The sequence below is a fragment of the Homo sapiens genome, chromosome 15 (assembly GCF_000001405.40).
Source record: "Homo sapiens chromosome 15, GRCh38.p14 Primary Assembly".
Taxonomy (NCBI): Eukaryota; Metazoa; Chordata; class Mammalia; order Primates; family Hominidae; genus Homo; species Homo sapiens.
In genome coordinates this window covers 24,372,823-24,386,959 of record NC_000015.10, presented here as the reverse complement: position 1 = coordinate 24,386,959, position 14,137 = coordinate 24,372,823, and the positions used below count along the sequence as shown (strand labels likewise).

The 14,137-nt window shown below is 40.8% G+C and overlaps 2 long non-coding RNA genes across 3 annotated transcripts in view; one reads left to right on the top strand and one right to left on the bottom strand.

Moving 5' to 3' along the window:
- LOC105370733 (uncharacterized) overlaps positions 1–14,137 on the bottom strand; it is a 440,742-nt gene that overhangs the window by 155,462 nt on the left and 271,143 nt on the right. The window contains exons 8-9 of one of the 2 annotated variants that reach the window (XR_007064538.1): positions 11,115–11,356; positions 10,222–10,745 (exon numbers count right to left, since the gene is read on the bottom strand). The exons of the other annotated variant lie outside the window; for it this stretch is intronic. This is a non-coding gene — a long non-coding RNA (uncharacterized LOC105370733). Of the gene's footprint in view, positions 1–10,221; positions 10,746–11,114; positions 11,357–14,137 lie in introns of those variants that run through there. 2 annotated transcript variants of the gene reach the window in all.
- Positions 1,550–10,247, top strand: LOC102725165 (uncharacterized). The gene is made up of 3 exons (XR_007064541.1): positions 1,550–1,644; positions 9,184–9,248; positions 10,111–10,247. It is a non-coding gene; the product is annotated as an uncharacterized LOC102725165 (long non-coding RNA).

Genomic DNA, 14,137 nt, shown 5'->3' with positions numbered 1-14,137 from the left:
CATCAGTTGATCCACTATTATTTAATAGAAAGGTGGGTAAATTATTGACTATGTCAATGAAAATGGAGATATAAATAGTTGCCAGCAGAAAAATATTTTTAAAATATTAAGCTAAATGAGAAAAAATAATAAAATATCTTAACACCCTTCCTAAAAGTGATTGTTACAAATATATTTGCTGCATAGAGCAAAATTATGTGTACATTTTCTAAGTGGCATTTTAAAAATTTGTCACTGAGACTATTTATTACTGCCTCAATTTCAGAGCCATTCTTGGTCTGTTCAGGGATTCAGTTCCTCCCTGGTTCAGTCTTGGGAGGGTGTATTTGTGCAGGAATTTTTCATTCTTTCTAGATTTTCTAGTTTATGTCCATGGAGGTGTTCATAATATTCTCTGATGGTTGTTTATATTTCTGTGGGGTCGGTGGTAATATCACCCTTGTTGTTTCTGATTGCATTTATTTGAATCTTCTCAACATCGCTCATTATTAGAGTAGTGCAAATCAAAACCAAAATGAAATACCATCTAACACCAGTCAGAATGGGTATATTAAAAAGTCAAAAAATAACAAATAACAAATAATCAAACAAATACCAGAAGCTGGCAAGATTGTGGAGAAAAAGGAACACATACACTGTTGGTGGCAGTGTAAATTAGGCTAACCATTGTGGAAGACAGTGTGGTGATTCCTAAAAGACCTAAAGACAGAACTTCCATTTGACCCAACAATCCCATTTCTAAGTATATATCCAAAGGAATATAAGTCATTTTGTTATAAAGACACATGAACACATATGTTCACTGCAGCACTATTCACAATAGCAAAAACATGGAATCAATCTCAATTGTCCATCAATGATAGACTGTATAAAGAAAATGTGGCACATATACACCATGGAATATAATGCAGCTATAAAGAAGAACCAGATGATGTCCCCCTTTGCAGGGGCATGAACGGAGCTACAGTCCATTATTCTTAGCAAGCTAACACAGGAACAGAAAACCAAATACCTCCATGTTCTCACTTATAAGTGGGAGCTAAATGATGAGAACACATGGACACATAGAGGGGAACAACACACTCAGAGTTCCTGAAACCATCGGTCTGGATTCCGATGAATGGGGCAATCAGACACACAAGCACACCAAGGCTTAACCATTCTGGCCACTGGAAGGGAAAGAAACTACCCAGGAATGCCACCTGCTTCCAACTAGCTGGTCCCTTGATTGGGGCTCTAGGGAATTTCTCTTTACCTGCTGAGATGTTTCTGTCTTGGGGAACTTCCTTTCTCTTCTTGCCACTGCACCAGCTGCCAACTACACTTCCTTACCACAGGGCAAGTGACATCTGAAGAGGCTGACAGACTTCAGAGCTGGGTAAGGCAACCAGAATACCCCCTGAACTGCCTCTGCCTGTTCTGTGATGTCACCTGACCTCTGCTCTGTTTACATATAGCTGATTGTGACATCATCTGGGTGTGTATGTTATCTGCATCTATGTCAACACCTGGGCTTTGCTCCACTTGGAGTCAGCTGATTGGCGGGAGGGCATCTGAAATTGAGAGGAGGTTTCAGGACGTTTACCCAGCCCTTTAGTGGGGATCTGTCTGGGACTGTGCAGTCTGAATCTGCAACTGTAAAAGGTACAATATCTACATTTAGGCCCTCATCTCTTTCTCTCTCTCCTCCTCCTTCTTTCCTCTGCAAGGTGATCTGCATAAGCCCCACTCCATCCAGGATCCAGCCCTGGAGGGAAACAGCCTCCAGTGCCCTAGCAGGGTCACTCTTTTTAGGGCCCTGGAGTACTTCTCACAGCTGTGCCAGTTTTTATGGGGAAAGGAAGGATGTGAGCTATTCCATAGGTTATCTAAAGGGCTTGCCACCATGCTTATGGTGCTTAATGTTGTTTATGTGAAAAAAAAGCTTAACAGCATATGGGATAAGTATTTAGGCAGTCCTGACTCCAACCCCTGTGCCCTTTTTGTCTGCTAATTTACCATTTAATTTGTTGCCATTCGGTTACCCTCTACTAGGGTACTAAGGACAGCAGAACATGGACTTGGGATGAAGTTGATGTGCTGGTGGGCCCGGGGCGGGGGGTGGAGGGGGGGCGGTGGTAGGGGAGTGCTGTGCTAGCTGGTGCTAATCACTAGCCTGCCCAAGTAGTTTATTCTCTGGTCTCTTTGGCTGTCCCAACTCTGTGGTGACATTGGCACAAGTGTTCCTTTAGGACCATGAGTGGTATAAATTGCACTGCTTATATGAAGCTTGAAAAGTCTTTCCAACCCATAGAGGTCTGGTTGAAGGATATGAGCAGTGCAGAACAGAAGAGAGACAACAAATAAAAGTTGTCATCACTGTTTCACAGGGATGAGCAGTATGGACATATAAACCAAGTCAGGAGGGGAAACAAGGTCTCTATCACCTCTGAAAGGCCCCTGGGGCATACCCTAGCTAAGTGTAGATCCTATAGCTATAAGCCCATGACTAAGAGAAAAATGGTCTATTATTGCAGTGCTGTTTGGACTGTGGACAAGTTATGTTATAAATTTTGACCTCTGAAAGGACGCAACCAATACTAGCCTTTAATGCAGTTAGACTCATTTTGTCAGAGGTCGGGAAAATTAGAAAAAATACAATATGTCCAAACCTTCATCCTTTTTGAAAATCAGGATTCATACCATGAGGGAAGATGTACCAAAGGACAGAATGGAAAAAAGGCTCTTCACAAGCCAGAGAGCCAAATTCAGGCAGAAAGCAATGAAGAAGAATTAGGACTTTTAAATGTCCTACACCCAAGCTGTTTTAGCAGCTCCAGCCGCCACAGCCAGAACGCACCTGGCCTCTGCTCCACCCCAACAGCTCCCACTGCAGTACTGCCATACCGGGCCCTTAGCACTGGCCTCTGCGTTGGCCCAAATTGCCTTCATGCTACCAAGTGAGGCATCAGACCAATAAGAGGGAGCTACTCTGCCACCTCAGTATAATGAGAGAACAGAGACGGCCTCTCCTTCCAGTGCTTGACAGGGTACACGATTTAGCAAGGAAGTGCCATGGCCAGAGCAAGGGAATTCCCATTTATAAGGATGGCCATGGGTGGCTTGGATGCGAGTGGGCAACCTGTCAGACATTACTGGACATCCAGCCCATTTTCAACAACTAACTTGTGAAACGGAAAAACTCCACCCCACTTTATAGAATGGATCCCCAGAAAATGACTGCTCTCTATGTGTCTATCTGTGCCACCCACCAGTGTACCTGAGCAGATGTGTAGCCTCTCCTAAATATGCTTCTGGCTGCAGACCAAAGAAGATCCAGAGTCTTGGTGTCTCCATGAAACAAATCCAAATACCCCAAACCTGAAGGAACCATTCTGGATGCAAACCCTAATTGGGGCTCCAATTGATAAGGGGACATGGCCCATCTGGAATATTCACAAACATTCTTCATGTTTGGACTCAGGAAAGGGGTGCCAAAACAGGAAGCCTCACTAGGAATGACCCCTTCCCTGCTCCAGAGACAAAGAAACAGAAGTTTCAACCATAAATGTGGAATGAACAAGGAAGGCTCTGCATCAGAAAAATCGAGGCAAGCCTCTGGAACACAGCCAGCGTGCCTAGTGTAAGGAGAAAGGCCACTGAAAGGATGACTGTCCCAAAAGAAAGGACCAAGGGGCCAGAAAAAGGAGGAATATGACTAGGAAAAAGCCCACAGTCAAATCATGGAGCAGGGTCACTGCTCTGACCACAGACAGTGATGCCTGGGGACTCTCCTTAATCACTTAGAGACAATTAAAATTTCCCCACAGGAACCCTGGGTACAACTGACAGTGAGGAAAAAGTTAATTGATTTCCTGGTTGATACTGGGCAAACTATTCAGTTTTAACACTTTACGAGCAAAAAGCACCAAAATGATCATACCTGTGATAGGAGTTGCAAGAATAATGCAACAAAAGGCTTTCCTACAACCTTTAGAATGCAAACTAGAAAGTTTGGACCTAAGGCATTGCTATTTCTATATGCAAGAATGCCCAATTCCCTTGCTGGGAAAAGACCCATTATGCAAATTAAATACTCAAGTAATTTATCCCCAGAGAAACAACTACAGCTGCAGGTCCTGCTAGAGCAAGCACTGCAAGTAACATGTTATTCACTTGCCTTAAGAAGAAACAAGAATTCTCCCTTAGAAGTCTATGAGAGAGTGTGTAATTGTGAATAGGCAGACGGAATCCCAGGAAAAACAAGAAATACACAGTGAGTGCACATGGAAAAAATAGAAGGGGCTACTGTGACCTGGGCGGCGGGGGGGAGGCGAATAAAAAAAATCAGTATACATTAAGAAAGGAAGCCTTAGAAGGAATACAGCCTGTCTTTCAAAAATTTGAGAAGTGGACTGATTCATCCTTGCAGATCCCCATATAATAGCCCTATCGTGCCTGTAAGGAAGCTACACATCTACAAATATCAATTTGCCCAAGACCTGAGAGCTGTTAATAAAATAGTCTTGGATATTCACCCAATGGTGCCTAACCCATATACTCTACTGACTGCTATATATAGATAGTATGAATGCTTTTCAGTGCTAGATCTAAAAGATGTTTTGTTCTGCATTCCAATTAAAGAAAAGACCCAGCAATTATTATTATTATTTTTAATGACAGGACCCAGAGACTAAAACAGTCTTTCAATACTGTTGGACAGTGGGGCCTCAATGTGTTGAAAAATGCACCATCGATTTTTGGGGAAATACTGGCAAAAGACTTAGGAGACCTACAACAAGATTAAGAAGCCTGGCTAACCACACGTAGATAATTAATACCAGCCACAACTATAGGAAATGCTTAGCTGAGGTCATCTTAGTTTTAAATCACCTGGTACAATATGGATACAAAGTATTCCCAAGAAGCCCCAAATACAAAAGTAGAAAGTAACCTGTCTTGGCTTTAGGTTAAAGCAAGGCCAAACGAGCCTGGTCTGGTCAAAAACAGGCAATGGCAGCCATAAAGTCCCAGAGAATGGGGGCAACTGCGGGGATTCTTAGAAAGGGTTAGCTTCTCCCAGATTTGGATTCCTAAATTTGGACTAATGACCAAAACCCTTTATGAATCCCTAAAGGGACTAGACTCAGAGGCCCTTCTCTGGCCATCTAAAGGTCAACAAACATTTTATACCATCAAAGAAAAGCTGATATCACCCTCTGCACTGGGATACCAAATTCCCAAAAGCTGTTCAAATTCTATATCCAGAAGAAACAAACCATAGGTGTGGGTTGTGCTAATCCAAATGCTGGGAGTTGTCCCACATTCCATGGCCCATTTCTCTAAACAATTAGGCCACAGGTTAAGGGATGCCCCCGCCTTCCTCTGGGCAAAAGCACCCACTGTGAAGTCCTACAGGAAGTAGAACAATTTACTCTGGGACAGCCAGTTACTGTGTTTGTGCCCCATCAGGTGCTGACTCTGCTAGAATGAAAGGGAGGCTACTGGCTCACTGTGGGGTGAGTGGGCAGATACCAGGCCATCCTCTTACATGATCCAAATATCACCCTACAAACCACCATGGCTCTAAACCCTGCCACACTGCTCTCAGCCACTGAACACAATCCTGGGTTAAAGCATGACTGTAAATCCTTGATGCAGCTTATTCAAGCATGCTGAACCTGTCAAACTAGACAATGAGTGCTCTGGACTTGAACTACACTGATGGGAGCAGCTTAATGAAAGATGTGCACAGAGCCGGATATGCCACCGTGACTGCCAAAAGGGTAATAGTAGTCCATACCCTTCCTGCAGCTACCTCCGCACAAAGTGCTGAGTTAATTGCTCTTACCTGAGTCTTTAGAACTGTCCCAGGAAAAGGGAGTAAACATTTATTCTTATTCCATAAATGCATTCCTGGAAATGCACGCCAATTGGGTGATCTGGAAACATAGAGGAGGTTACTTATAATCAGAAAATACAGATATTAAACACTCAGGAGAAATTCTGGCCTTAGTAAAGGCAATTGCCTTGCCTGCCCAGGCTTCCATCATTCACTTCCCCAACACCAGAGAGACAATTCACAACCAAAAGTAAGCAGGCAGCTGGCAAAGCTGCATAATGAGCTGCTTGGGAGGCACAGGTCCTGGGACATGAATACTCCATTTGGAATTACTAGATTTTAAACCTCATTACACTGAACAAGATCCCAAATGTGCCCGAGCCAGGGGTTTGAGAAAAGAGATTCCAATTCCCCTGGAAAACTGACACCTACAGGATGATGAAACCACAAGGCCTTGGTTTATCCAATCTCAAAACATCTACATAAAGGAACGCACTATGGGAGTGATGTCCTCGCCAACCTAGTGCAACCACATCTCAGTAGCCCACACTTCCAAAATATCACTCGGAAAATTACAGAAGGATGCATCTTGTGCACTACAAACAATCCCAAGACAGCATGTAGTCCTCCTAAAAAGGAAATACAGTACAAAGGGCTGAGTCCCTTCAAAGCCTGAAAGGTGGGCTTCACTCAGATGCCTGCCTGGTTATGTGAGCTAAAGTAAGATGTGAAGCTATTAATAAGAGAAAAAGCAGGAGAGATAACCAATATACTTTTGTTAACATGAAGTTCTCAGTTAATTCTAGAGTAATAAGTACATACTTGATCTTTGCTGAAACTACCTGAATGGGTGTAGACAGTGGCTTTCCTCCAAAACAAAATAGACTGCTGGGTCTCTGGGGGAGGTACCCCTTTCTCCACTGCTGACTTGCCATTGCACATCCAAGCAACCACCTCGAGCACTTGGAGTTATGTTTATACGTAGGACAAAAGTAAAAATTCTCACCCATTTCCCATCTATGATTACAGTACCACTCACCATGAGTGCTCCACTTTTGGGGAAACCTGGAAACATATCTTCCATCTGGCTCATAAGCAGGTTAACATCACCCCCTCTATAGACTATGCTGTACATGACAACATAGGATGGCTGATGATGGTGCAAATTCAGGCAATGGGTCAGGCACCTCTACGCAACCAAAAACACAAGAGCAACACACCCCACACTAGCAGCCAGGCTAAGGGATGGTTACCTCTTAGCAATGTGGCCAAACCCATCAACTGAATAATAATATGTGGCTAGGATGGCAAAATAGTATCAAGCTACATGGTGGGGCCTATCCATTCTCCTGGAGATAGCTATAGGCCTGAAGCAGTCATAGCTGGTCTTACTTACCTTACAGCTGGACTGGCAGAAACACCTGGGGGTGCCCTTACCTACCAGGACACATCCTGTCCCATCTGGACTGTCTCCCTGACAACTGGGAAAATGTGAAGGACAGACAACACCATCAAAAATGGGCACCCTGTTGGTTCTACTCACCAGCTGCCTTTTCCTCCCAGATAGCAAACACAGATGTAGAATTATAAGTAGAGACCCTAAGTATAGAGCTGCTGCCAGTAATAACACCTAACCCAACATTACCCTTCCCACTGAAAAATCATGCAGATTAGGCAAGTGACCCTACAGAACCCTATGGCCTTAGATATCCTAACTGCAGCCTAGTGGGACACTTGTGCATTAAGACTGAATGGTGCATATATACACCAGATTATTCTCACGATATAATCCAGGCTATGCACGCACTGAATACTCATATTTCTGCTATAAATGTCCTCTCCCAGGATCCCACAATATCATGGTTTAGTCGACTTCCAGGTCCATGGAAGACTCTCATATACTGTATAATTGGTATTCTACTCCCCGTTCTGTTTGGTTGCTGTAGTTTTTGTTGCTTTTCAAGATCTGTACGGAGATGCAGGATAAACTTTCCCAGAAATTTTTGGGTCCCCACACTATAATGCTCCAACACATTCTCACATTAGTCTGGGAACCCACGAATAATTCCAACTCCAGGTAAACAGATTCCAATCTGATAACCTCTAACTGTGCCCCTTCCCCATGGTATATAAGCCCTATGTGAGACTCAAATATCTGCTCATAAATCCCTACTAAATGTTTCTTTCTAAGAGACTGGTTATATCAGCCTCTATCTTCAGCTATTCAGCTTCCTCATATTTTGGTGGTAGGTTTGCAAAGAACTGCCTTCCATGGACTGCTAACTATTAAAAATGGAGAGCTTTTAGTGGAGTACTGAAATCCCTATCTTACATATGTAGAAATAATTTTAAAAATGATGGTCCTAGAAATCTGTTGAGGAGGAAGCAGAATTGTAATGAGTTAGATGAATGTTTCCCTGACCTGGATTTAAGGCTTCAGGAAGACTGAATAAAGGGAACATGAAATCATGGTCTCAATTATATTAGCCACCCTTCCATTGAACTCTAACTTCCAATCAGTCTAAAGTGTGGATGGAGAAAGAGTGTTAGGTACTTGCCTCATGAAGAGGTCTAGGAATTTGGCTTGTTTGCAATGATAGTTTTTGAAAATTGTAGTGTCCAGGACAGCCACTCTGAAACCTGGTAGCTTAGTATATTATGAGAAATCATAATTTTTGTGCTGTCAGAGAGGTTGTTTGGGAACTTGGAGCACCACACGATGTCATCTGTGCCTGTGACATCATTTAGCACAGCTTTGAATTTAGTGCCTGTTTTCTTTTAAACCTCAGCTCTCCAGTCTCCATCTCCCTGATATGCCACATTGAGATGGGTTACAGCTTGTATGCATTTACTTATGTCTAACTTATGGCTTGCCATTCGAGCTTTTTTTTTAATTGCTTCCTGGTTTGGTGAAGCACAATCTTCACACTCTTCATCATGATAGATTAGAAAACATGCATTGAAATCAAGATAAAAAGGGATTTGACAAGTCACGAAAGTATGATAGTATCTCCAGTTCAAATGAAATAAATGGAAACACCCACCATGTTTTAAAATAGGAACCTTAAATGAAGCTGTCATGTCTCAAGTAATAAAGTATGAGCCTAAAGAAGTTAGTTTTCTTGAATTACAAATGCTCAAATAACACCACGTAACAGTTATCCTCATCTAAGAATGAGGAATGACTTCCATGAAGCTGAATGTCTCTTCCAAGTTTCTAGGTCACAGGAGCTCATTTCTCACTGTCACTATTACCATGGTGTAGACAATAGACCCTATGTTTATAGACGAAAAAAACAAGTCAACATTATACATGACCATGGGTGTGCAGAATGAAGTCTGATGTCTTTGTGGGTTTTTAGGCATGGTCCCTGGAAACAACCCTGGTGCTGTCCAGCAGCGTGTTGAACAGGAAGTTGTGTGTGTGGTGAGTGGAGAGTCCTTCCTGCTGTGGGATTCTTTGTTTAGCCAGCACATATGCAGAATCACCACTCAGCCTCTGTCTATCTCTTAAATCACTGCTGGAGGGTTGGGGATATGTTGTATTTTCTTCCTTCCTATCCTTCCTTCCCTTTCTTCCCTCTTTCCTTCTTTCCTCTCTCTCTCTCTCTCTCTTTCTTTCTTGGGTCTGACTTTTTTGCTCAGGCTGTAGTGCAGTCACACAATCATGGCTCACTGCAGCCTTGACCTCCTGGGCTCAATCCATCCACCTGCTTCAGCCTCCTGAGTAGCTGGGACCACCTGTGTGTGCCATTGTACTCAGCTACATTTTCTATTTTTTTTTTTTTTTTTGTAGAGACAGAGTTTCTCCATGTTGCCCAGGCTGGTCTTGAACTCCTGGACTCAAGCAATCCACCCACTTTGGCATCCCAATATGCTGGCATTACAGGCATGAGCCACCACACCTCGCCTGTTGTTTAGCCACTATCAGGTTTTCCATGCCCTTGAAAAACCTGTTTTGAATCTCAGCTGCCAAAAATCTGGTATGAAAAGATTTTTTTGTCCAGGCCCAGATAAGTAGAAACTGCCAAAACCACCAACCACCATATATACATATATATATACACACACACACACACACACACACACATACATACACACACATACACACATATATATATCTACACACACATACATATACATACATATATATACACACATACATACATATATATATATTTTTTTTGTTTTGTTTTGTTTTTTGAATTCCACCCACCTGCTGTCATAATGATGCCCATCCGGTGACTTTGGGGCTTGGGGATTGCTGATGTAATTCTGGTATTCAACAGAATACAAGGTTCCATAAAATTCCTGATGGAGATCGTGGAGTGAAAAGACATTATCACAGAATTCCAACAAGGCTTGAAGGCAGAATTATCTTTAGAAAACTAAGCCTGTATTAATAAAAAAAAATATGAAAATATAATTTATATTTCTTCTCACTAACATTCCTCAATCTTGGTCTTTGGCATCCAGAAACTTTGTCTGCCAAAATATGTTCAGTGGGATCATGTAGATATGTTCCTAAATGATATCTGAAAATGGGCCTTTCTGGGATTTGTGAGGCATAGGCAAATATCTCTGAAAACAGAGAGGTTACTGACACTCAAACGAGTTACTTGGTAATAAAGAGTGTGATGGGGAGGTCAAATATGGACAAGAGTTCCTTGAGTTTGATAGTGGCTTCCTGAAGTAGATGGATGTATGTATGGAAGGGTAAATGTATGCGGAAATCTGCTTGGCTATTTTTTTTCTCCATGTCCATTCATCTTCTGAGGCCAATTTTTTTTTGAGTCTTGATCTCCCTCTGTTTCCCAAGCTGGAGTGCAGTGACACAATCATGGCTCACTTCAGTTTGGAACTCCTGGGCTCAAGCAATCCTCCCAAGTCAGCCTCCCCGGAAGCTGGTATAATATACGCATGCCTGTCTTTTTAATTAAAAATAAAAAATCAAAGATTTCATTTTAAAATAGTTTTAGATATACATAAAGATGCAAACATAGTACAGCTAGTTTTACATACCCAGAAGTTTACTAGAATGTTACATCTTATTTATATACCCATAATGTATTTATGAAAACTAATAAACTTACACTGGTTTAAAACTATTAACTGAACTACAGACTTTCTTCTGAGTTTACCAGGTTTTCTAGTAATGCCATTTTTCTGTTCCAGAATCTAATCCAGGGTAGTATTAGAAATTAAATGTGCTATCTTTTGTATTAGTTATCAGTTGCTGCACAACAAATTGCCACATAGTGTGGTGGCTCAAAATCACACACACATTACTTACAGTTGCTCTGGGTCAGGAATCCAGATGTAGATGATGTCCAAGGCTGAGGTCTCAACTGAAGGCTCATCTGGAGAAGGATTCCCTCAAAGCTCACGTGACAGTTGTTAAGATTCCATTTCCTACCCTGGACTGATCATGGTGGGTCAAACTTGTAATCCCAATGCTTTGGTAGGTTGAGGCAGGAGGATTACTTGAGGCTAGGAGTTCAGGACCAGCTTGGGCAACATACTTAGAACCTGTTTCTACCACACACAAAAAAGAAAAAGGAAGGAAGAAAAGAAAAGAAGAAAAAAGATTAGCCAGATATGGTGGCATGTGCCTGTGGCCCCAGCTACTCAAGTGGCTGAGGCAAAAGGATTGCTTGACCCCCCCAGGAGTTCAAGTCTGCAGTGAGCTACATTCATGCCACTGTGCTCCAGCCGGGATGCAGAGTGAGACCATGTCTGTGAAAAAAAAAAAAATCCTGACTTGGTCAAGAAGACTTCACCAGTGAATGATTTTACATCTTCAAATAATTAATACCAATTTATCATATATTTTTCAAAAAATAAACAGTAAACCCCAAGCCTGTGGCACCTAGCAGTGAAATGAGGAGCAAGCAACAGAGCCAAGCATTTTGAGATAATGTGGTCTTGTCCCTCCGTCCATCAGCCATCAGCACCTGCAATTCAAATTCCACTTCCCAGAGAGGGAGGAAACTGGTGGCAGCCACATGTGCAGCACAGCAGTGTCAGCTCCAGCAACACCGCAGTCCCCAGGGTGTGCCTCCGGCTTCACGGAAGTCACCTGCTGCACTGGTTTGCCAACTGTTTGTTTTTCTAAGTCCTCATCTGGGAATAGGTAACAACTTTAATAATAATATTTAAATCCTTCTTTTGTTCAACTTTTAAGTTTCTAAAACTGTGATATTCCATTTTTTATAGATATTTATGAAGGCTCACAAAATGTGTCACATCAAATGTCTACATGTTAGGTCTCCTGAGCATACAAACTAAATTGACCTTAATGAAATACCAGAATTTAAATCTTGTATTTCTTCTAAATAATAAGTACCTGTTTGTCAACCCATATTTTCATGTTTGTCTATACTTGTAGGTAGTGTAAAGAAAGAAATATGCAAAACAATGAAATCATATTAAAAAGAGTAATTTATCACCCACCTTTCTCTCTCCCTTTCTAGTGTTTTCTAAATCTCCATCTATGTAGCCCAATTACATCTTTTTACTACTCTGATTTGGTTTTATTCACTTACACAATATAATTGTTTGCAAAGTCTGAAAATTACCTTGAAAAAATGTACATTTTTTCTCCTTTTCATGTGTTCCATTCTATTTGTGCTAAATAAATTTAGACCTTTCACATAAAAAACAGTAAGAGCAACATGAAGAATAGATCACTTTCCAATGTGAATTATCAGCCTTATACCACAGCTAGACAAAGTTACTGAAGAAAAACTATGATCATATTGATCATATGACTTATGAACATAAACACAAAAATTAAAGGAAATACTATCAAAGCAAATAACTGACATGTAAAAATTTATAAATTTTGACGAAGGTATACATCTTACGAATGCAAATTTGGTTCAACATACGAAAAGAATTAGTGCCATAAACTATATTAAGAGATAAGGGACACAATACACATGGTCATCTTAAAAGATGAGCAATAAGCACCTGCTAAAGTGAAATTTCATTCCTTATAAAACCATGCAACAAGTTAGGCAAATAAGAAAAGTTTCCTCACCATGAAAGCACAGAAAACCTCACATGACATCCTAAATCTTCTGAGAAGCTCAAGAACTTTCTTGTAAAATTAGAAACAAGAGAAGGCTATCACTTTCACAGTTTTATTCAACACTGTATTGGAGGATATGAACAAGGTAATTGGTATAGAAAATAAATATAAAAAAGTCAGATTTGAAGGAAAGTCAAATTATGTCTCCAAATGACATGATCCTGCCTACAGACATCATAAAATCTCTAATAAAACATAACAAAATATGAAAAAAGGGTTAAGCAAGCTTGTAGTACAGCTTAGTACAGGTCAATATGCAAAATCAACTGTATTTTTATTTATTAGCAATTAACAATCTAAAAACAAAATTTCAAAAACCATTTCATGTAAAATGGCATAAAAATTAAATACCTATGAATTAATTTAATAAAATAAGTATAAGATACATATACTGAGGACTAGAAAACATATCAAAGAAATTAATACAATTATAAATTAAATACATTGAGCTTAAATAAATTAAATACACTGCACTCCAGCCTGTAGGACAAAGTGAGACCCTGTCTCTGTCTCTCTCTCTCTCTCACACACACACACACACACACACACACACACACACACACACAGTCATTCTATCAAAAAGACACTTACACTTCTAGGTTCATCACAGCACAATCCACAATTGCAAAAATATGAAATCAATCTAAGTGCCCATCAACCAATTAGTGGATAAAGAAAATGTGGTGTGTGTGTGTGTGTGTGTGTGTGTGTGTGTGTGTGTGTGTATGTATATTACAGAATACTACTCAGCCATAGAAAAGAACAAAATAGTGTTTTTCAAAGCAATTTGGCCATTATCATTAGTGAAGTAACTCAGGAGCAGAAAACCAAATACCACATGTTCTCACTTATAAGTTTGGGGTAAGCAATGGATATGCAGGAGCATGCAGAGGGGGATCATGGACATTAAAGATTCCGAAAGGAGGAGGGTTGGAGGCTAGTGAGGGATAAAAAATTACCTATGAGGTAAAATGTACACTATTCAGGTGACAGGTACACTAAAAGCCCCAGACTTCACCACCATACAATTCATGCATGTAACCAAAAACTACATGTAATCCCAAAGCTATTGAAATTTTAATAAATTTATTTCAAAGAAAAAGCAGTGGTGTATGATTCTCCAAGTACTGAGTGTGTGTTGTATATAGTGACTTTTTTTATACACACAACATGAAAAGGAAGAAAAAGAAAAATTTTACAGAAGAGATTTTTAGAACTAAAAG